This window comes from Homo sapiens, chromosome 5 (genome assembly GCF_000001405.40).
Source record: "Homo sapiens chromosome 5, GRCh38.p14 Primary Assembly".
Classification (NCBI taxonomy): domain Eukaryota; kingdom Metazoa; phylum Chordata; class Mammalia; order Primates; family Hominidae; genus Homo; species Homo sapiens.
Genome location: NC_000005.10, coordinates 93,845,247 through 93,867,878, shown reverse-complemented (window position 1 = coordinate 93,867,878; position 22,632 = coordinate 93,845,247). Strand labels below are relative to the sequence as shown.

Here is a 22,632-nt window from a genome sequence, read left to right as displayed (position 1 = left end):
AGAAGAAAACAATAGGTTTTTTTTTTCCTTGAAAAGTAATAGATTATATATTATAATTAGTGACTCATTTAGGGAACATATGAAAACAAAGATAAAATTACCCTTGAATATTAGTCAAAATGGTCATCAACCAAGACTTTCCTTAATTCTTGTTCTCCTAAATATAATTCTTATACCTGAATTTGCTTTTCTAAAAGCACTTTGGGAGGCTGAGGCAGGCAGATCACGAAGTCAAGAGATCGAGTCCATCCTGACCAACATGGTGAAACCCCGTCTCTACTCAAAATACAAAAATTAGCTCGGCATGGTGGCACACGCCTGTAGTCCCAGCTACTCGGGAGGCTGAGGCAGGAGAATCGCTTGAACCTGGGAGGCGGAGGTTGTAGTGAGCTGAGATCGCATCACTGCACTCCAGCCTGGCGACAGAGCGAGACTCCGTAAATAAATAAATAAATAAGATAAAACGTAACTTCCTAAATGTCTGATAATTGTTATTTCTGTGTGAAATTTCAGAAAATCCCCTCTCTCCCATAAGGTGATAAGAAGAAATATTACAGAACTATCAGTTTGGATGCTATCATATTTAATAACTTTAAAATAATTTGACAGTTATAAACAGTCACTATTTTTCCTTTAGAATCTGAACCAAAGTATATTGGTTCTGTCATAGCAATAATAATATCAGTACCTTTCAGAGGTATGTAATAGATTAATACTTTTTTAAAACACAGACTTTGAACCATTATATACAAATTTAACATTAGAACTAAGATTTTACACTGATAAGTAAATCTATTAAAAGTAAAATCTGTTTAGCTATTATTGAGAAGAGGAACTCATGTTTTTGTAATGTTGCTATTCTAAATTTTTAGCAATGAGGCATTTTTTTTTCACATTAAAGGGGTATGTACAATTCATTCAGGCCATGTTTGTTTACTGTTTTATATAAAGAATATGTTTAGGAAGAAAGAACATTTTTAATAGAAGGATTCTACCAGAATAGGTTTCCAAAAGATAATATCTAAAACTTAGTAGATATTTTTTAGACTTTTAAAGCCCATCTATTTCATTTGTAGATGTAGATAAGGAAACTGAGATTAAGAGAAATTACACACAGTCATCCCTTGCTTTACGAAGGGAACTGATTCCAGAACCCCTGCATATACCACAGTCCATGCATATGGAAGTCTTACAGTTGGTCCTGTGGAACCATGGATATGTAAAGTAGGCCGTCTGTATATGCAAAACCTGCATATACAAAACCGGCATATACAGATGGCCTACTTTTCAATCTGGCTTTGGTTGAAAAAAATTCTCATAACTGGACCCACACAGTTCATCCCTCTGTTTTTTTCTCTCCATTCATATTCTGAAGTGGCCTCTCTTCTGGCCTTTTCCTCAGCAGCTGCGTGTATGTGGGTTTCTGTGTGTGTGTGGGTGTATATGTGTATGTTTATTAGGCAGGGAAAGGTATAAGTGCCCAATAAGTAATTTAGGCTTGCACCTAAAAGTTAGTTGAAAACACTGTTCCTCCCATAATCAATTTTAAGAACTAAGGGGAAGAATATAAATTTGAAAATCTTGGTGCATTATATCTGAATTGTGACATTAACGGTACTTCATTCACTTCTAATGTTCTTTATTTTGACTTCACAGAGGAGAGTGAAAAAATTCCCTCAGAAATTCTTGTACAGACTGCTGATAAAATGATGCCATCAAAGAAAGGCCAATTGAAGATTGCTTGTATTATCCTCTTTTTTCATTGGTCCTAAAACCTTTTATCACATTTTAACATCTCTGAATTTGGGATGCATCTTAAGAATTAATAGCATATTATAGATTATTTAGCAACGTTTTTTCTCTTAATTATACTTTTAGTTGCATAACTCTTAAGGGGACATAATTCTTACTAGCAACCCCTGGAGTTGTGCTGTGTATACACTGAGTGCCCTTATGGGGCAGCCCTCATAGCGATAAGGTGGACATTCATTGTTTTTCCTACCTTTTAACCTCATATTTGACCTCACAAATTGTATAAATATCACCTGCCTACTATTCGGCAAGTAGTGACTCCTCCATAAATGTTGATTTACTTATTTATGCATCATTATAGTCAGTTTTGTTCCTTTATTTCCCAAAGCAGACTGAGAACAGGTTTGAATTCTTTCAGTACTGGATGTCATATTATTAAGAAGAGGTAGATCTTTAGATGATAAATATAGATGATAAAGCTAGGAAGTAAATGGCCAGATTAAATAAAGATGTTAGCCCCAAGTGTCCTAATTGTTTCCGTATGCTTTTTGCTTTTAAAACTTCTTTTAGTACTTTCAAGATACCTGAAATAACTAGTAGTGTGATAAAAGTACAATGCCAGTTATAGGTTACATTGTCTTAGTATACCTTCATCGATTATGTACCATGTCACAAGTGCTAGATATTAAAGATAAAAGGAGAAGAATAAAGCATGTAATTTCTACTCACATGAAATTATCCAGGATCGGCTGGGCGCGGTGGCTCATGCTGTAATCCCAGCACTTTGGGAGGCCGAGGCGGGCGGATCACAAGGTCAGGAGATCGAGACCGTTCTGGCTAACAAGGTGAAACCCCATCTCTATTAAAAATACAAAAAATTAGCCAGGCATGGTGGCAGGCACCTGTAGGCTCAGCTACTCAGGAGGCTGAGGCAGGAGAATGGCGAGAACCCGGGACGCAGAGCTTGCAGTGAGCCGAGATCGCGCCACTGCACTCCAGCCTGGGCGACAGAGAGACTCCGTCTCAAAAAAAAAGAAATTAGCCAGGATGATACATCAAGATATCAAATGTGTCTTGAAACTGAAGATGTGTATCCTGTTTAGTAGCACATGTTGGAACAGATCTCTTCACATTTCATTTCAATAGCTGAGTACTATTTATAAAATATTGTGCTGGCCCTCTGTAAGAAATAGAGATAGAAAAGCCAGAATCCCTCTTTACCAGGAGCTCACAGTATATAACAGGGAGGCTACGATATTCATAAGCAACTCTAATATTAGGCAGATTACAGTATGTACTTTGACATCATTCATATGTTATAGGATTTTAGGAAAATTTTATTTTTCAATGGGAAATTGAAAGTCCTTCACAACTAGTGATATATCATTAGTAATAAAAGTTCAATACTTAGAGATTGTTATAAACCACATTGAATTTTAAAATTTGAGACTATATACATTTTCTGTACTAAATACAACTTATCATTGCAATGAGAACCTCAATTTTTGTGCAAATTGTTTCTATAAGAATTTTTTTACATAAGGTTATGTAGCATGATTGTTTTGTTGAATAATATAAACCATTTCAAAATTTGGCACTTAAAAGGAATTAGTTTGTTGGATGTTTTTAACACATTCTGAAAACTGAAATACTTCAATTTCCAGTAATGTGGTGGTATTTATCAATGATACTTAAAATTGTTTTGCCTTTACTTTTAGTTCAAATGAAGCTAATCAAACATATAAGGAGCATTTAAAACCTGTCACAACCATTTAATATCCCTTAACTAATTATTTTCTTCTTTTGCTTTCACCTCCTCCACCAAATGATATATTCATTGTGGTATATTCATTTTACAACACTCATTGTTTAGGAGAAATAATGTAATAATTAATAATTGCACTTAACCTTTTAATAAGGTTTTACAGTTCATTAAACATTTTCACCTACATTTTATCTTTTAGGAAATATAATATGAAGTTAATGATTAGCAGTTTTCATTAAAAACCATTATTTCTGTTTAGATTTTTTACATTTTCTTAATTGCTTGTGATACTATTGACATTTGTTAGGTAGATCCTCTTACAGTGTCTGGCACATAGTGGGTACACCAAATATTAGTTAAATGACAGGGTGATCGATACATTTTTTGTTTTGACAAATATGGCAAGCTGATATTCTTATGGGCAAACCAATACAGTGGAATCTAGTGACTAGAGAAAATAAATACTTTTTTAAGACTCTAAAAAACTAAAACAAAAAATTTTAAAATTTTAAAGAAAATATTTAAAAATATATTTATGAAGATATGTGTCATATTTCTTTCAATGGATAATTTTAAGTGATATTAAATTATGTCAATAGTTTGAATAGCAATAGCAACCATTGAGCTAAAATTATGCAACAAATAGTTGCTTGTTAACCTAAGATATTTCAACATTTTTGAAAGATTAGTAATAAAACATGCCATATTTAAAAAGCCTTAATGTGAATCTTCTCTCCACTGTAGTTCAGGGGACACTCAGGATGCTAGAGTAATGCTATAAAAAAAGCCACTCAGACAGGTGCAGTGGCTCACACATGTAATCCCACCTACTCAGAAGACTGAGGCCGGAGGATCACTTGAAGCCAGGAGCTCAAGAACAGCCTGGGCAAAATAGCAATACCCTCCTCTCTAAATATATATAAATATATATATATAGATAATTAGTTGGGCATGGTAATGTGCCGGTAGCCCCAGCTACTCGGGAGGCTGAGGTGGAAAGATGGCCCAGGAATTTGAGGCTACAGTAAACTATCTCACTGCACTCCAGCCTGAGCGACAGAATGAGACTCCATCTTTTAAAAAAAAAGGCACTGAAATGACCCCATCAAATCCAACCAGCTATGCCAGGCTCTATTTCCATCCTATTTCTGAGGAGTTTTTGTCCTTGCTGGGTTTCCTTTGGCTTCATACCCAGATTCTGCTTGCCCTATATAACATGGATGGTCTGTCTGTCCTTTGTTCAGTACCTGCTCAAGATGCCACTTGCCCAGAGCTAGAGCCCACGAGGCAAGGGGCATCTCTTCTCTCACTGGTCAAAGGTAGGTGGTTGGAAGTGGATATTCTGGATTCATCTCTCCAGGCCCTTACTTCTAGGAAAACAAACAAACAAAAACAAGCAGTTTCTCTAAATTAATATGTTAATATAATTCTAAAAATTAGCACAGAAAAATTACCCATTTAATTTATAATGGTTTTTTAAGACATTTGGAAGGAAATATTTCTTTCATAATACTCAAACACTTAAAGGTTGAACATTATAAAGAAGCATCAGTATTATCAGAGATTTTTCAAGATTCTGTTAAATTCTAAACATCATCTAGAAAGTTCTTGTCTTATATCTAATACCTAACCTTAATGTCCCCTCCTTTGTTAAAACTTTTCTTGACTCTCTCTCTTCCCGTGCCTGTACAAAGACATGCATGTGCATGGGAACACACACACACATACACAAACACACACACACACTAGTAATCACAGCCTCCCTTTTGCCAGCATGTATATAACATAATTTTTAGCATTTTCCCACATTAAAGAAATAATTGAAAGCTTATATATTTATTCCCCAAAGTAGATATCTAATTATTTAAAAGAAAGGCTTATATTTAATGCATCTATGTTTTCAGGGCTTGAATAAAAGTCTGTTTAGCAAGGTTTTCTTTGATGGAATTATTTGATTCATACTGGAATCTCTGGTTCATTTTTCTGTTTACAGAAGTAAGTTCAGATTGTAGTATATTGCACAGATTGTCCAGGTAAACCTGGTTAAGACTTTCAGGGGAACTTATTTTTGCTGCTATTGTGATGTGGAAATGCTGTTACTACTTCAGTAACACTGATATAATGTATGTACTTATTAACAAGAAATGTGTAGATAGTAGCTCCAGTACTTGAAGCATCATTAAATTTGAATGAATTTTCTATTTGTAAATATACTCTGTCATAAATACCATTGAATATATTTCACTATGTAATAAATTTTAAAATCAAGGAAGTAATAAATCATAACATTTAATTTTAAGATTAAGAATATTGGCAAAGATTTGTTTATTTTTACCTGTCTTTATTCAAATGTTCTAATATACATTAGTTCCAAGTTCTCTATTACTTCTAAATAGAATATACATGATCAAAAGAGTATGCCTCTTTCTAAATGAGAAAAACTTTATATTATAAATCCAGTGATACGGATACTATCCATCATTTTGTTTTGTATGGCCTAATGTATATCAGTAAACTAAATAGACTTAAATGTGGCTGGATTTTGACTGGGAATATGGGAAGAACAAAGCAGGTGAGATCATGTATGTGACTAAATATAGCGTTGATGCTTAACGATGGCCTCTGAGCATGTTAGTGTAACTTATATTTTGCAGCCAAAAACTGTATGTATCAAGCTCCAACCATCTATAATAAAGTTTATGGTTCAGTTCTAAGATTGCTAACCAAGTGATTTTTTTTTCAGAGACGTTAAAGAAAAAGTACCTTCAACCAATAAATTCTTAAACATTTCATCAAATAGTTATTGAACAGCACTGTGCTAGGCACGTGGGATGTGAAAATCAAAGAACACATGACCCTACCCATAGCAACTCAGTGATAACAATGATAAAGGACTATGCTAGATTCCACATCGTACCTGGAGTGGGGGCAGAAGTGGTACATAATCCAGTTAGGGGGTGAAGTGGAAAATCCAGGGCAAGTTTCGTGGAGGAAGTGATGCCTGAAATGTATCTCAAATAAGTTAGCAGAGCTAAAAAAAAAAAAAAAAAAAAGAAAAAAAGAGTAGAAGTTAAAGGGAATAAATGGAACCGGGTGTAGAAGGGTATTCAGAACAGAAGAAATTATATAAGCAAAGACAAAGAAGCAAGAAATAGTATGCATGTTTGGGTTCAGGAGAAGATGGTTTGACTAGAAAGTTTAACATTAGAAATAAAATTATTCCTTTACAAAAAAAGAAATACTTAAAAGAATATGTTGGTTTTCAAAACAGATATAGTGATTTTTGCTTAGTTGCTTATACATCTTGAAACCAAAACTGGAGTTCAGCTATTTATTGTGTTCATTTTAGCATAAGCATTACAAAGTCCTTCTCTAGTTAATCAGGTTCACACTTTGCAACTAAGAAAACAGAAGTGGGCCAGGCACGGTGGCTCACGCCTGTAATCCTAGCACTTTGGGAGGCCGAGGCAGGCGGATCATGAGGTCGGAAGATCGAGACCATCCTGGCTAACACCTCATCTCTACTAAAAATACAAAAAATTAGCCGGGCATGGTGGCAGGCGCCTATAGTCCCAGCTACTCAGGAGGCCGAGGCAGGAGAATTGCTTGAACCTGGGAGGCAGAGGTTGCAGTGAGCCGAGATCGTGCCACTGCGCTCCAGCCTGGGTGGCAGAGAGAGACTCTGTCTCAAACAAAAAAAGAAAAAAAAAAAGAAAGAAACAATCTTACCACTACCATAGAAAATTGACATGTGTTCACATCCTTCTCCCTGTCTTTCAGAGGTATGAATTTTGTCTTAATGTTCTTTTCCTTTTCATTATAGTTTACTAAATATGCATATTTTTCTAAATAACATGTTTATTATATTGTTTGGTTTTGCTTGCCTTTACTTTTATCATTTTTTTTTTACTTCTGGAATTTGCTTTTTTGTGTACGACATCCATTTATATGTTTAGCAGTAATTCATTTTTACCTCTATATGGCATTTATCCACTTTACTGTGGATGAACATTGTTGGTTTGCTTTCTAATGTTTTTGCTATTATAGTATAAGATTCTTTATTTTTTTTGAGATGAAGTCTCCCTCTGCTGCCCAGGCTGGAGTGCAGTGGCACGATCTTGGCTCACTGCAAGCTCCGCCTCCTGGGTTCATGTGATTCTCCTGCCTCAGCCTCCTGAGTAGCTGGGATTACAGGTGTGTGCCACAACACCCGGCTAATTTTTGTATTTTTAGTAGAGACGGGGTTTCACCATCTTGGTCAGGCTGGGCTCAAACTCCTGACCTCGTGATCCATCCACCTCAGCCTCCCCAAGTGCTGGGATTATAGGTGTGAGCCACTGCGCCTGGCCTATAAGATTCTAATGAACATTCTTAGGCATGCCTCCTGGGCTTCAGATGCCTCCTGGTGCTCTAGAATCTATACTTATTAGTAGAATTGTTGGGTCAGCTTTACTGGGTAATATCAAATTGTTTCCCAAAGTAGTTGTATGATTTATTCTGATCACCCATACATGGCTATTCCTGTTGTTTCACACCCTTCTCAAATCTTTGTGTTATCGTTACTGTTTAATATTTGCTAGCCTGGATACTATAATATGGTATCATATTGTGGTTTTAGTTAGCATTTTCCTTATTACTAGTTAGGTTGTATATGTTTTCGTTTTTCATTGGCCATCTATGATTCCTCATCTGTGAATTGCCTATTTATGTGTATGCTCATTTTGTTATTTTGAAAAAATCTTTTTTTACTGACTTGTAGGTGTTATTTACATATTGCAAGTCACTCTTCCACTCTTTGGCTTGTCTTTTTAAAAATATTTTAAAACATTCTTAATTTTAGTATAGGAAAATATATCTTTTTTTATATGGTTTATCCTTTAACATATTATTTAAAAAGTCCTTACCTAGCCTAGGTGATACAAATATATTCTCCTTTTTTTTTCATGTGCCTTAGAGTTTTTCCTTTCACATTTAGGTTTATATTCTGTCTAGAGTTAACTTTTACGTTTGGAGTTAGGTATGAATCCAATTTCCTTTTTTCCCGTATTGATAATTATCCTGACCCTATTTATTTGAGAGATCATCCTTCTTCAATAATATGTGTTTTAACCACTAGAAATTTGTTTTTATGCTTATTTTGTGGATAGGCATCATTAATTTTTTTCAAAATGGTTAATCAGTTTTCCTAATAGCATTTTTAAAATAATACATTCTTTTTTCACTGATTTGAAGTGCCACCTTTAACACAGATTGAATTCTTACATTCTTGCCTTTATTCCTGGGTTTTGTTCTATTCCTTTCAAATGTCTATCTACATGTGCCAGTGCTATTCTTATATAATTATTGAGATTTTATAGAACCTGCAGTATTTGGAAGTGTCTCATTTTAATCTTCTATCCTCTTCCTTCCTCACTCACTAATTTGAAGTTAGAATTTTAGCTCTATTATACTGCCACTACCAACAAGTCTTTTCCCTCTCTCCTCTTTTTCCTCTTCTTTCCCCTAATTTCTGTCTATATTAACAAAATGTTACATTATAAAGATGATCATTTTTACATTATAGTGTTTCTTTTTCTAGAAGAATTCTTTTACATTTGCAAGCAGGTAAATAACCATAACAATTATTTGTCATTTTAATATTTCACCTCTCACTGCCAATCTTTTTATGCTGTCACTTCAGGCATATATGCTTAATTTTACTTCCTAGGCCATTGAAATAGATGATGGGCTCTAGAAGTAGTTAAGAGTGTCAGTTTAGAAGTACAGTGTTAAGATGGCGAATGGCAGGATATGCCAATTGATTAGATAAAGGCTAAAGGAGATGGAGGAATATAAGTGGTCTCCCAGGACCTCTCTACTCCATTGGATTGTAATGACAATTAAGAAGTGAGGTGAGCAGGCCTGAGATGGCTATCCTTAGAAAAGCCTGCCTGCAAAGCTGGCCTTTGATTATCATCTGGGAATTTGGATTTCAGGAAGGTTTCTGGAACCCTAACTGACAAAGAATGGCTCATTGGGCCCAAAATGATTGTGCAAACAATGTGGTCTTTGCTGAACACTTGCTTTCCTTCTGGAAGTCTGGATTCTTGGTAAGGTGCTAGGTAGGAAGTGGCTATGTGACAAGCCTCCAGTAAGAACCCTGGGTTCTGAATCTCTAATGAGCTTCCCTGGTACACAACTTTTCACATGTGTTGTCATAATTTGTTGCTGGAGCAATTACGCACATCTTGTGTGACTCTACCAGGAGACGATTCTTGGAAGTTTGTACCTTGTTTCCTCTGGATTTTGCCTTATGTGCCTTTTCTCTTTGCTGATTTAGCTTTGGATGTTTTGCAGTAATAAATCATAGCCATTAGTATGACTAAAGAAAATAAGAAGTGAGGTATGTGAAGTCACTTTAAAGATTTATAAAATACATGTAATGTGGGGGCAGCCAAGATGGCCGAATAGGAACAGCTCCAGTCTACAGCTCCCAGCATGAGCGACGCAGAAGACAGGTGATTTCTGCATTTCCATCTGAGGTACCGGGTTCATCTCACTAGGGAGTGCCAGACCGTGGGCGCAGGACAGTGGGTGCAGCGCACCATGCGTGAACTGAAGCAGGACGAGGCATTGCCTCACTCGGGAAGCGCAAGGGGTCAGGGAGTTCCCTTTCCTAGTCAAAGAAAGGGGTGAGAGATGGCACCTGGAAAATCGGGTCACTCCCACCCTAATACTGCACTTTTCCGACGGGCTTAAAATACGGCGCACCAGGAGATTATATCCCGCACATGGCTCGGAGGGTCCTACGCCCATGGAGTCTCGCTGATTTCTAGCCCAGCAGTCTGAGATCAAACTGGAAAGTGACAGCGAGGCTCGGGGAGGGGCGCCCACCATTGCCCAGGCTTGCTTAGGTAAACAAAACAGTCGGGAAGCTCGAACTGGGTGGAGCCCACCACAGCACAAGGAGGCCTGCCTGCCTCTGTAGGCTCCATCTCTGGGGGCAGGGCACAGACAAACAAAAAGACAGCAGTAACCTCTGCAGACTTAAATGTCCCCGTCTGACAGCTTTGAAGAGAGCAGTGGTTCTCCCAGCACGCAACTTGAGATCTGAGAATGGGCAGACTGCCTCCTCAAGTGGGTCCCTGACTCCTGACCCCCGAGCAGCCTAACTGGGAGGCACCACCCAGTAGGGGCAGACTGACACCTCACACAGCCGGGTACTCCTCTGAGACAAATCTTCCAGAGGAACGATCAGACAGCAGCATTCGCGGTTCGTGAAAATCCGCTGTTCTGCAGCCAGCGCTGCTGATACCCAGGCAAATAGGGTCTGGAGTGGACCTCTAGCAAACTCCAACAGACCTGCAGCTGAGGGTCCTGTCTGTTAGAAGGAAAACTAACAAACAGAAAGGACATGCACACCAAGAACCCATCTGTACATCACCATCATCAAAGACCAAAAGTAGATAAAACCACAAAGATGGGGAAAAAACAGAGCAGAAAAACTGGAAACTCTAAAAAGCAGAGCACCTCTCCTCCTTCAAAGGAACGCAGTTCCTCACCAGTAACGGAACAAAGCTGGACAGAGAATGACTTTGATGAGTTGAGAGAAGAAGGCTTCAGATGATCAAACTACTACGAGCTACAGGAGGAAATTCAAACCAAAGACAAAGAAGTTAAAAACTTTGAAAAAAATTTAGCTGAATGTATAACTAGAATAACCAATACAGAGAAGTGCTTAAAGGAGCTGATGGAGCTGAAAGCCAAGGCTCGAGAACTACATGAAGAATGCAGAAACCTCAGGAGCTGATGCGATCAACTGGAAGAAAGGCTATCAGTGATGGAAGATGAAATGAATGAAATGAAGCGAGAAGGGAAGTTTAGAGAAAAAAGAATAAAAAGAAACGAACAAAGCCTCCAAGAAATATGGGACTATGTGAAAAGACCAAATCTACGTCTGATTGGTGTACCTGAAACTGACGGGGAGAATGGAACCCAGTTGGAAAACACTCTGCAGGATATTATCCAGGAGAACTTCCCCAATCTAGCAAGGCAGGCCAACATTCAGATTCAGGAAATACAGAGAACACCCCAAAGATACTCCTCGAGAAGAGCAACTCCAAGACACATAATTATCAGATTCACCAAAGTTGAAGGAAATAATGTTAAGGGCAGCCAGAGAGAAAGGTCGGGTTACCCACAAAGGGAAGCCCATCAGACTAACAGCGGATCTCTTGGCAGAAACCCTACAAGCCAGAAGAGAGTGGCTTGTACTCTGTATTGGTTATTCTAGTTATACATTCAGCTAAATTTTTTTCAAAGTTTTTAACTTCTTTGTCTTTGGTTTGAATTTCCTCCTGTAGCTCGTAGTAGTTTGATCATCTGAAGCCTTCTTCTCTCAACTCATCAAAGTCATTCTCTGTCCAGCTTTGTTCCGTTACTGGTGAGGAACTGCGTTCCTTTGAAGGAGGAGAGGTGCTCTGCTTTTTAGAGTTTCCAGTTTTTCTGCTCTGTTTTTTCCCCATCTTTGTGGTTTTATCTACTTTTGGTCTTTGATGATGGTGATGTACAGATGGGTTCTTGGTGTGCATGTCCTTTCCAATATTCAACATTCTTAAAGAAAAGAATTTTCAACCCAGAATTTAATATCCAGCCAAACTAAGCTTCATAAGTGAAGGAGAAATAAAATACTTTACAGAGAAGCAAATGCTGAGAGATTTTGTCACCACCAGGCCTGCCCTAAAAGAGCTCCTGAAGGAAGCACTAAACATGGAAAGGAACAACCAGTACCAGCCACTGCAAAATCATGCCAAATTGTAAAGACCATCAAGGCTAGGAAGAAACTGCATCAACTAACGAGCAAAATAACCAGCTAACATCATAATGACAGGATCAAATTCACACATAACAATATTAACTTTAAATGCAAATGGGCTAAATGCTCCAATTAAAAGACACAGACTGGCAAATTGGATAAAGAGTCAAGACCCATCAGTGTGCTGTATTCAGGAAACCCATCTCACATGCAGAGACACACATAGGCTCAAAATAAAAGGATGGAGGAAGATCTACCAAGCCAATGGAAAACAAAAAAAGGCAGGGGTTGCAATCCTAGTCTCTGATAAAACAGACTTTAAACCAACTAAGATCAAAAGAGCCAGAGAAGGCCATTACATAATGGTACAGGGATCAATTCAACAAGAAGAGCTAACTATCCTAAATATATATGCACCCAATACAGGAGCACCCAGATTCATAAAGCAAGTCCTTAGAGACCTACAAAGAGACTTAGACTCCCACACAATAATAATGGGAGACTTTAACACCCCACTATCAACATTAGACATATCAACAAGACAGAAAGTTAACAAGGATACCCAGGAATTGAACTCAGCTCTGCATCATGCAGACCTAATAGACATCTACAGAACTCTCCACCCCAAATCAACAGAATATACATTTTTTTCAGCACTGCAGCATGCCTATTCCAAAATTGACCACATAGTTGGAAGTAAAGCTCTCCTCAGCAAATGTAAAAGAACAGAAATTATAAGAAACTGTCTCTCAGACCACAGTGCAATCAAACTAGAACTCAGGATTAAGAAACTCACTCAAAACTGCTCAACTACATGGAAACTGAACAACCTGCTCCTGAATGACTACTGGGTACATAAAACGAAATGAAGGCAGAAATAAAGATGTTCTTTGAAACCAAAGAGAACAAAGACACAACATTCCAGAATCTCTGGGACACATTCAAAGCAGTGTGTAGAGGGAAATTTATAGCAATAAATGCCCAGAAGAGAAAGCAGGAAAGATCCAAAATTGACACCCTAACATCACAATTAAAATAACTAGAAAAGCAAGAGCAAACACATTCAAAAGCTAGCAGAAGGCAAGAAATAACTAAAATCAGAGCAGAACTGAAGGAAATAGAGACACAAAAAACCCTTCAAAAAATTCATGAATCTAGGAGCTGGTTTTTTGAAGGATCAACAAAATTGATAGACTGCTAGCAAGACTAATAAAGAAGAAAAGAGAGAAGACTCAAATAGGTGCAATAAAAATGATAAAGGGGATGCCACCACCAATCCCACAGAAATACAAACTACCATCAGAGAATACTACAAACACCTCTACGCAAATAAACTAGAAAATCTAGAAGAAATGGATAAATTTCTCGACACATACACCCTCCCAAGACTAAATCAGGAAGAAGTTGAATCTCTGAATAGACCAATAACAGGCTCTGAAATTGTGGCAATAATCAATAGCTTACCAACCAAAAAGAGTCCAGGACCAGATGGATTCAGAGCCAAATTCTACCAGAGGTACAAGGAGGAACTGGTACCATTCCTTCTGAAACTACTCCAATCAATAGAAAAAGAGGGAATCCTCCCTAACTCATTTTATGAGGCCAGCATCATCCTGATACCAAAGCCAGGGAGAGACACAACCAAAAAGAGAATTTTAGACCAATATCCTTGATGAACATTGATGCAAAAATCCTCAATAAAATACTGGCAAACTGAATCCAGCAGCACATCAAAAAGCTTATCCACCATGATCAAGTGGGCTTCATCCCTGGGATGCAAGGCTGGTTCAATATACGCAAATCAATTTATGTAATCCATCATATAAACAGAGCCAAAGACAAAAACCACATGATTATCTCAATAGATGCAGAAAAGGCCTTTGACAACATTCAACAACCCTTCATGCTAAAAACTCTCAATAAATTTGGTATTGATGGGATGTATCTCAAAATAATAAGAGCTATCTATGACAAACCCACAGCCAATATCATACTGAATGGGCAAAAACTGGAAGCATTCCCTTGGAAAACTGGCACAAGACAGGGATGCCCTCTCTCACCACTCCTATTCAACATAGTGTTGGAAGTTCTGGCCAGGGCAATTAGGCAGGAGAAGGAAATAAAGGGTATTCAATTAGGAAAAGAGGAAGTCAAATTGTCCGTGTTTGCAGATGACATGATTGTATATCTAGAAAACTCCATTGTCTCAGCCCAAAATCTCCTTAAGCTGATAAGCAACTTCAGCAAAGTCTCAGGATACAAAATCAATGTACAAAAATCACAAACATTCTTATACACCAATAACAGACAAACAGAGAGCCAAATCATTAGTGAACTCCCATTCACAATTGCTTCAAAGAGAATAAAATACCTAGGAATCCAACTTACAAGGGACGTGAAGGACCTCTTCAAGGAGAACTACAAACCACTGCTCAATGAAATAAAAGAGGATACAAACAAATGGAAGAACATTCCATGCTCATGGGTAGGAAGAATCAATATCATGAAAATGGCCATACTGCCCAAGGTAATTTATAGATCCAATGCCATCCCCATCAAGCTACCAATGACTTTCTTCACAGAATTGGAAAAAAACTACTTTAAAGTTCATATGGAACCAAAAAAAGAGCCCACATCGCCAAGTCAGTCCTAAGCCAAAAGAACAAAGAGGGAGGCATCACGCTACCTGACTTCAAACTATACTACAAGGCTACAGTAACCAAAACAGCATGGTACTGGTACCAAAACAGAGAACTAGATCAATGGAACAGAACAGAGCCCTCAGAAATAACGCCGCATATCTACAACTATCTGATCTTTGACAAACCTGAGAAAAACAAGCAATAGGGAAAGGATTCCCTATTTAATAAATGGTGCTGGGAAAACTGGCTAGCCATATGTAGAAAGCTGAAACTGGATCCCTTCCTTACACCTAATACAAAAATTAATTCAAGATGGATTAAAGACTTAAACGTTAGACCTAAAACCATAAAAACCCTAGAAGAAAACCTAGGCATTACCATTCAGGACATAGGCATGGGCAAGGACTTCATGTCTAAAACACCAAAAGCAATGGCAACAAAAGCCAAAATTAACAAATGGGATCTAGTGAAACTAAAGAGCTTCTGCATAGCAAAGGAAACTACCATCAGAGTGAACAGGCAACCTACAAAATGGGAGAAAATTTTTGCAATCTACTCATCTGACAAAGGGCTAATATCCAGAATCTATAATGAACTCCAACAAATTTACAAGAAAAAAACAAACAACCCCATCAAAAAGTGGGCAAAGGATATGAACAGACACTTCTCAAAAGAAGACATTCATGCAGCCAAAGAACACATGAAAAAATGCTCACCATCACTGGCCATCAGAGAAATGCAAATCAAAACCACAGTGAGATACCATCTCACACCAGTTAGAATGGCAATCATTAAAAAGTCAGGAAACAACAGGTGCTGGAGAGGATGTGGAGAAATAGGAACACTTTTACACTGTTGTTGGGACTGTAAACTGGTTCAACCCTTGTGGAAGTCAGTGTGGCGATTCCTCAGGGATCTAGAACTAGAAATACCATTTGACCCAGCCATCCTATTACTGGGTATATACACAAAGGACTATAAATCATGCTGCTATAAAGACACATGCACTTGTATGTTTATTGCGGCACTATTCACAATAGCAAAGACTTGGAACCAACCCAAATGTCCAACAATGATAGACTGGATTAAGAAAATGTGGCATATATACACCATGGAATACTATGCAGCCATAAAAAATGATGAGTTCATGTCCTTTGTAGGGACATGGATGAAATTGGAAATCATCATTCTCAGTAAACTATCGCAAGAACAAAAAACCAAACACCACATATTCTCACTCATAGGTGGGAATTGAACAGTGAGAACACATGGACACAGGAAGGGGAACATCACACTCTGGGCACTGTTGTGGGGTGGCGGAAGCGGGGAGGGATAGCTTTAGGAGATATACCTAATGCTAAATGACGAGTTAATGGGTGCAGCACACCAGCATGGCACATGTATACATGTGTAACTAACCTGCACATTGTGCACATGTACCCTAAAACTTAAAGTATAATAATAATAAAATAAAGTAAAAATACATGCAATGTTACGTATGCTGCTGTTCATATCTCTATGAGAACTGAAATTTCAACCAACAAAATTACTACAATGACCAGCAAGATATAATGGATAAGTCATATCATACCTCTTGGGCCAGGTTTTTTCCTCTGTAAAATACATAGGAATGCAAATAGGCAGGAGGCCATGATTTCTAAACTTCTGTCATTCCCTGAAATAATGAAATAATTTTTATTTAAATATTCATTCTTCTATTCTTAAAATGAGCTACTTTGCTAAGCATTTTCACTCGTTTTAATAAAGGAAAAGGAATACCAGGTTTCATTTTATCTGTCAGTCTGTCTATAACAGTCCCTGAAATATAAAAATACTTAACTGGGTCCATCTGACAAAATGAATGAATTCCACTTTGCCCTTAGTGTTAATCTTAGAGAACACACTCTCAGAGGGGAAAAAAATAAAAAGAAGAAGAACCAATCAATGACTAAGAATCCCTAATATTTAATGTAAACATACTTAATAGAAAATATACTGATTTAATTTTAAAAATTTGCTTGTAAATATTGGAGATTAAATTTATTTAAGTAGGATATTTCATACCACAGTACAGTTGCCTTCACAAAACATATCTAGAGGGAATATTTTGCTGAGTTAGTTACAGTATGAAAAAATGTTCATATTGACTCCAAATGTTAAATATATATGGTATTAATCTTGCCCATTCTGCTACTTGCAAATAACAGCCATTAGATATGATTTCAAAAAGAGTCTAAATTTTAATTTCTAGAACATGTTCATCACAAGTTTGATGGCGAGTTCCAGAAATACACCATTACATCCCTGTAATGTAGTTAAGAATAAAAAAACTTCACTGCTCACAGGCAACCATAGAGCAGAGGACTTAGTGACATTCTCTAATCAGCAGGAGCAAGCTTCTCTGGCCCTCCAGTGTGCACGGGCCCCCTGCTGTTCACAGCATCCTGATCATAATAAGGATCCCATCAGATATTTGAGAGGGTCAGTTATCTTCCACCCTGTACATACCTGCACACCTACCTACGTCTTTCTCAATAAGCTTATGACTTCTCACAGCTAAGGTTCTGGAAGCTCTGGTTGTATCTGCTCCTTAGATCCAAATTATTGATAAATAACTCTGGTCTCTTCCTCAGTGTATACTGTGAATTGGAATAATTGAATATCAGTTTTCCAGGAATAGTCATGTTTTAGGCCTAAGATCTATTTTTACAACTAGAAAGACTTTCTTGGACATATACGTGCACACACATACATGCACACATTTGTATGTATGTGGTTACTTATATAAAAATTACTGTAGGGTTAATTTAAGATCATGGGATCTGAAGTTAAACTCCATTAGCTATATTATGTTGGGCAAATGAATTAAAGTCCTCAAGTATCAGTTGGCTTATCTATAAAAAGTAGATAATAATTGTAACGACTGCTCAGGGTACCATGAGGATTAAATTAATTAGAACATACTAAGCATTTTGCACAATATCAAATACAGAGTAAGCACTTGAAAAATATTGGCTGCTGTTATCACTTTTCATGGGTTTAGGATTTCTTGAAAATCTCATGTTTTTTCATTTTCCTTATCCTTTTGAGCTGGCCTAATTTTCACCCAGTATTTTTTTCATCCTCTGTGACATTCTCTTAAATTTTAAAATAGCTAAATAATGTAGCAGATTCATAGCAATAGGAAGAAAAATCAACTATAAAAATATTTTACCTTTGGGACAAAAATTTGCATATGTCAGTCACTTTTGAAAATACTATCTGATCTATTACTGGATTCACCAAAGTATTATATTCCTCAATTAGAAGGGGATTTTTTTCAGTCTTATTCATACTCAGATTTATAAAGAAAATTATTTGATAAGGAATAATTATTGGTAACTGATTGTACAGAGTTATGGAGGTTTAAACAGAATATTCATCAAGTAGAAGATATGTATCCTGCGTGTGTGTGTGTGTATTCTTCCTGAAATTCACATTTTAAAATTATTTAATATTTCCTCATAGCATACTATTTCTAGGTGCTTAACTTTAGTACAATGCAATAATAATCTCATCTTTTGAACTCAGTAGAAAATTTTTCTTTTTACATTCTGTATTTTTATGTTAGGAATAATTTTGTTTTAAAATTAATTTTCAAGTTACACAGTCCTTTGTTTCATAAACTGCTTTTCAGAAGTATCTGTGGAAATTTTTTTTCAATTATTTGTTGGTATCCTATCCTAAGACCCCCAAGGTTTGGCCTGTGATTTTTGAGCTACGACGTGCTCCCAATCTTCCAGTTAGGTCAACCACAAAAATTAAGATATGATAGAAGGTCAGTGGAAGAAATTCATATCAAAACAACTCCTCACCATGTCATTATGACAGCCTGCTGTAACAAATGTGCTTCTGTTTTAACTTATGACAATTAATTGCTAAAAGTAATTTAATCTGACAGAGGCAGGGTGTTGAAAGGCTCCTGGAGATGTCATAAAAGCGACCTTTCTGCCCATGTGCTGCCAAAAGCCATTTTTAACAAGGAGCTAAGGAAACTGTGCAACTTCTTTTGTACTTTGTTAATTAGTTATTGATTTGAAACAATGCACTTCCAAATACTGTTAGGTATGTTAGACGCCAGCAAGGTCACTATGTGACAGTCTACTCCCAACAATCTTTATAGCATATGAGAATTCTTTGAAGCCCTTTGTTCTGTTATCCTAAAATTGAGATTGCCTAGTTTCCTAAAATGATTACAGTTTTATTTATCATTCATCTTTTCAGTTCAAAATATTTTATATATGAGTAATCTGATACTTAGTCACATTTTATTATATGAAGTGATTGCAATGGTCAGAATCCTTATTTGTGAATTTAGGCTCAAATAAGCACATATTCTACAGTGAAAATATTTATGGTTTGATTAGTGGTTCCAAAGAGAAGAAGAAAATAATATTTTAATCTTAAAAAGGAAAGCAAGGTAGTAGAGGTTCTAGAATTTCTAGAATTCATTTATTGGACGTATCAGTCAATATCTCTTTTTCTTTTTTTTTTTTTTTAATCTTTAGACAGAGTCTCGCTCTGTCGCCAAGCTAGAGTGCAGTGGCACGATCTCAGCTCACTGCAACCTCCGCCTCCCGGGTTCAAGTGATTCTCCTGCCTCAGCCTCCTGAGTAGCTGGGACTACAGGCATGCACTACCACACTCAGCTAATTTTTGTATTTTCAGTAGAGACGGGGTTTCACCATGTTGACCAGGATGGTCTCAATCTCTTGACCTTGTGATCCACCTGCCTTGGCCTCCCACAGTGCTGGGATTACAGGCATGAGCCACTGTACCTGGCACCATCTCTCTTTTTTAAAAAATTTGGATATTTAATTTCAGTTTCGATGATTTTGTAATGTTATTAACAGAAGTTAAATAAGTGTGTTATAACTCTTTGAGGAAGTCTTCAGACTGTTTTAAATAACATTTCTTAACAATGCATTTAAGTACAAGTTAAAACCGCAGGCCTTTGTGTGAACTGCAAGGTGCTATGGAGGATAGAAAAATCGAAGGGTGAGTTAGCATAGCACAGGGATTAAAAGTAGGCATTTTTAATTCAGACTTCCCATGCTATAATCCTGAATTGCACTAATTAGCTATTTTAGCCTGGAATAAGTGATTCAACCTTTCTGTGCTTCATCCATACAATGGGAACCATAGTAGTAGTTTAATACATGTTAATTCATAATACATGTAATATATGTACGTAATACCTGTAAAGTGCTTGATCCAAAGCTGGTAAGTAGCAACTACCTGATAAATGTTAGCTGCTATAATTAGTATAATAATTAGTAGTAACAAGATATAGTCCCTCCCCTTAATTTTATATTAACAATTTTATATTTTAGTATATGCAGTGTTTTCAACAGATCAAAATAAATATAATTATTTTTCTTATTTTTTCAAATATTTTAAAACTTTGTAAACTAGGATATGTTTGCTATACATGAGAAATTTTTTAAATAGAATGGTAAAGTTCTCTCTGCATTTTGTGATGGACAATAAAGGAAACATTTGGTGTGCCCTTATTCTAAAATCAGAACTGCTGATAAAATATACTGGTTTGTTATTTTACTAAAATATATTACGTTTTTCAGTTGAATTGTTTATATGTTAAGAAATCTAGCTTTGCTAGACTTCAGTGGAGGAAGGAACTGCAGATGAGGTGGAAACAGCAAGAGAACTAGAATTAGAAATGGAGCCTCAAGATGTGACTGAATTGCTGCAATCTCATGATCAAACTTGAATGAATGAGGAGTTGCCTCTTACAGATGAGCAGAGAAAGTGGTTGTATAAGATAGAAACTACCCCTGCTGAAGATGCTGTGAACACTGTTGAAATGACAACAAAGGATTACAAATATTACGTAAACTTAATTGATACAAGGACAGGTTTTAGAGGATTGACTCTAGCTTTGAAAGAAGTTCTACTGTGGGTAAAATGCGATCAAACAATGGTTCATACTACAGAGAAATCTTTCATGGAAGGGTGAGTCAATAAATGAGGCAAATATCGTTGTCTTATTTCAAGAAATTTCTTCCATCACTTCAACTTTCAGCAACCACCTCCCTGATCAGTCAGCAGCCATCAACATTGAGGCAAGACCCTTCACTGACAAAAAGATTGTAGTTCAGTGAAGGTTCAGATGATCGTTAGCAGTTTTTAGCAATAAAGTATTTTTAAATTAAACATGTTTTTGAAGTAATATTATAATATTAATAAGTATATTTTCAAGATGTTTTTAGTTTATGACTAAATTATAGCAAGTATATAAATAACTTAATTACACCTTTGTGATGTAGCCCAAAAGAAATCAAATATTTATTATGTGCTGTTTGCCAGGCTTCTTATTTTGCATTTCTCCAGTCGTTGTTTTATTTTTATTATTATTATTTTTTTAGAGACATGGTCTTGCTCTGTTGCCCAGGCTGGAGTGCAGTGACACAATCATAGCTCTCTGCAGCCTGGAATTCCTGGGCTCAAGCAATTCTCCCACCTCAGCCTCCCAGTGAGCAAAGACTACAGGCACATGCCACTACACCTGGCTAATTTTTTTTTTTTTTAGAGACAGGGTCTCACTATGTTACCCACGCTGGTCTCAAACTCCTGGGCTCAGGTGATCCTCCCTACTCAGTCTCCTAAAGGGCTGGGATTACAGGCATGAGCCACCACACTGGGCCCAGCCTCCCTTTAGATAGCAACTCTTCTCTTTGTTTCCAAAGCTTTGCTTTCCTTATCTTATCAGAAAAAGATAGAACTTTAGAGGTCTCCCAGGACTCTCATGGACAAATACAGAGTTTGAACATCTAAGATGGTAAGTCAAAGTCACAAAGCTAATTAAGTAGCACTGTCTGGTTGTGTGATTGTGTGTGTGTGTGTGTGTGTGTGTGTGTGTGTGTGTCACAGAGAGAGAGAGAGAAAATATGTTCTCTGGCAATTGTAAATGATCATCCCAAAGTTGCTAAATTAATCATTAATTCTTTGGAGACAGTTTACTCATTTCCTCTACAGCTATAATTATAGCTTTAGATTCAGATAGCAATACTATAAGGCATGTTTAGCTTCTGACTATACCATTTTGTCTATAGGATGTTCTAGATTGAACTGTCTGGAACACTTAATCTTACGCCCCCTCCAACACACACAGACACAGACACTCACGTTCCAAAGGTGTTTCTTTTGCCTCTCAGTCTGCTCTAGTATTCATTAAGTGGCAGTAGCCAGATCAGTCTTGGTGAGCAAGATACATTCATGTTTGTGGGCCTGTGTATATCCTGCATCCTTGCCATTATGGCTTTTTTGGTCATACTCTGATTGTGCCAGCACAAGTTAGTGATGGAGTCCAACAAATATAAACTGGCTGAGTCATTCTGCCTTCTTGGTTTTTTACTGCCTCTTCTGTGACAGATTACTCTCTGATGAATGACAGCTGAGATCTTCACTTAGTATAGGCCATTACTTTCTTCAAGCTTCTAAGAAAAATCCTGGCAACATTTTGGGACCTTCTCCCAGGGTTCTTGCTAGGTTATTGTGGTAGGGAGAATAATGGCTCCAAAGATTCAAATCTTAATCCCTGGAGCCTGTATGTTAACTATATGTACTCCTAAATAGCATGTTGTTTATTATGACACATTAAGCAGTGAGCACAGACCTGG

General features: G+C 37.0%; 1 protein-coding gene across 35 annotated transcripts in view; it reads left to right on the top strand.

The window, feature by feature from the left end:
• Positions 1 to 22,632, top strand: part of ARB2A (ARB2 cotranscriptional regulator A) — a 493,975-nt gene that overhangs the window by 243,821 nt on the left and 227,522 nt on the right. For 3 of the 35 annotated variants that reach the window (XM_017009962.2, XM_005272111.6, XM_047417822.1), the window contains one exon: positions 1,657 to 6,231. The exons of the other annotated variants lie outside the window; for them this stretch is intronic. In XM_017009962.2, the coding sequence (XP_016865451.1) occupies positions 1,657 to 1,710 (54 nt within the window). In that variant the 3' untranslated portion in view covers positions 1,711 to 6,231. Of the gene's footprint in view, positions 1 to 1,656; positions 6,232 to 22,632 lie in introns of those variants that run through there. 35 annotated transcript variants of the gene reach the window in all.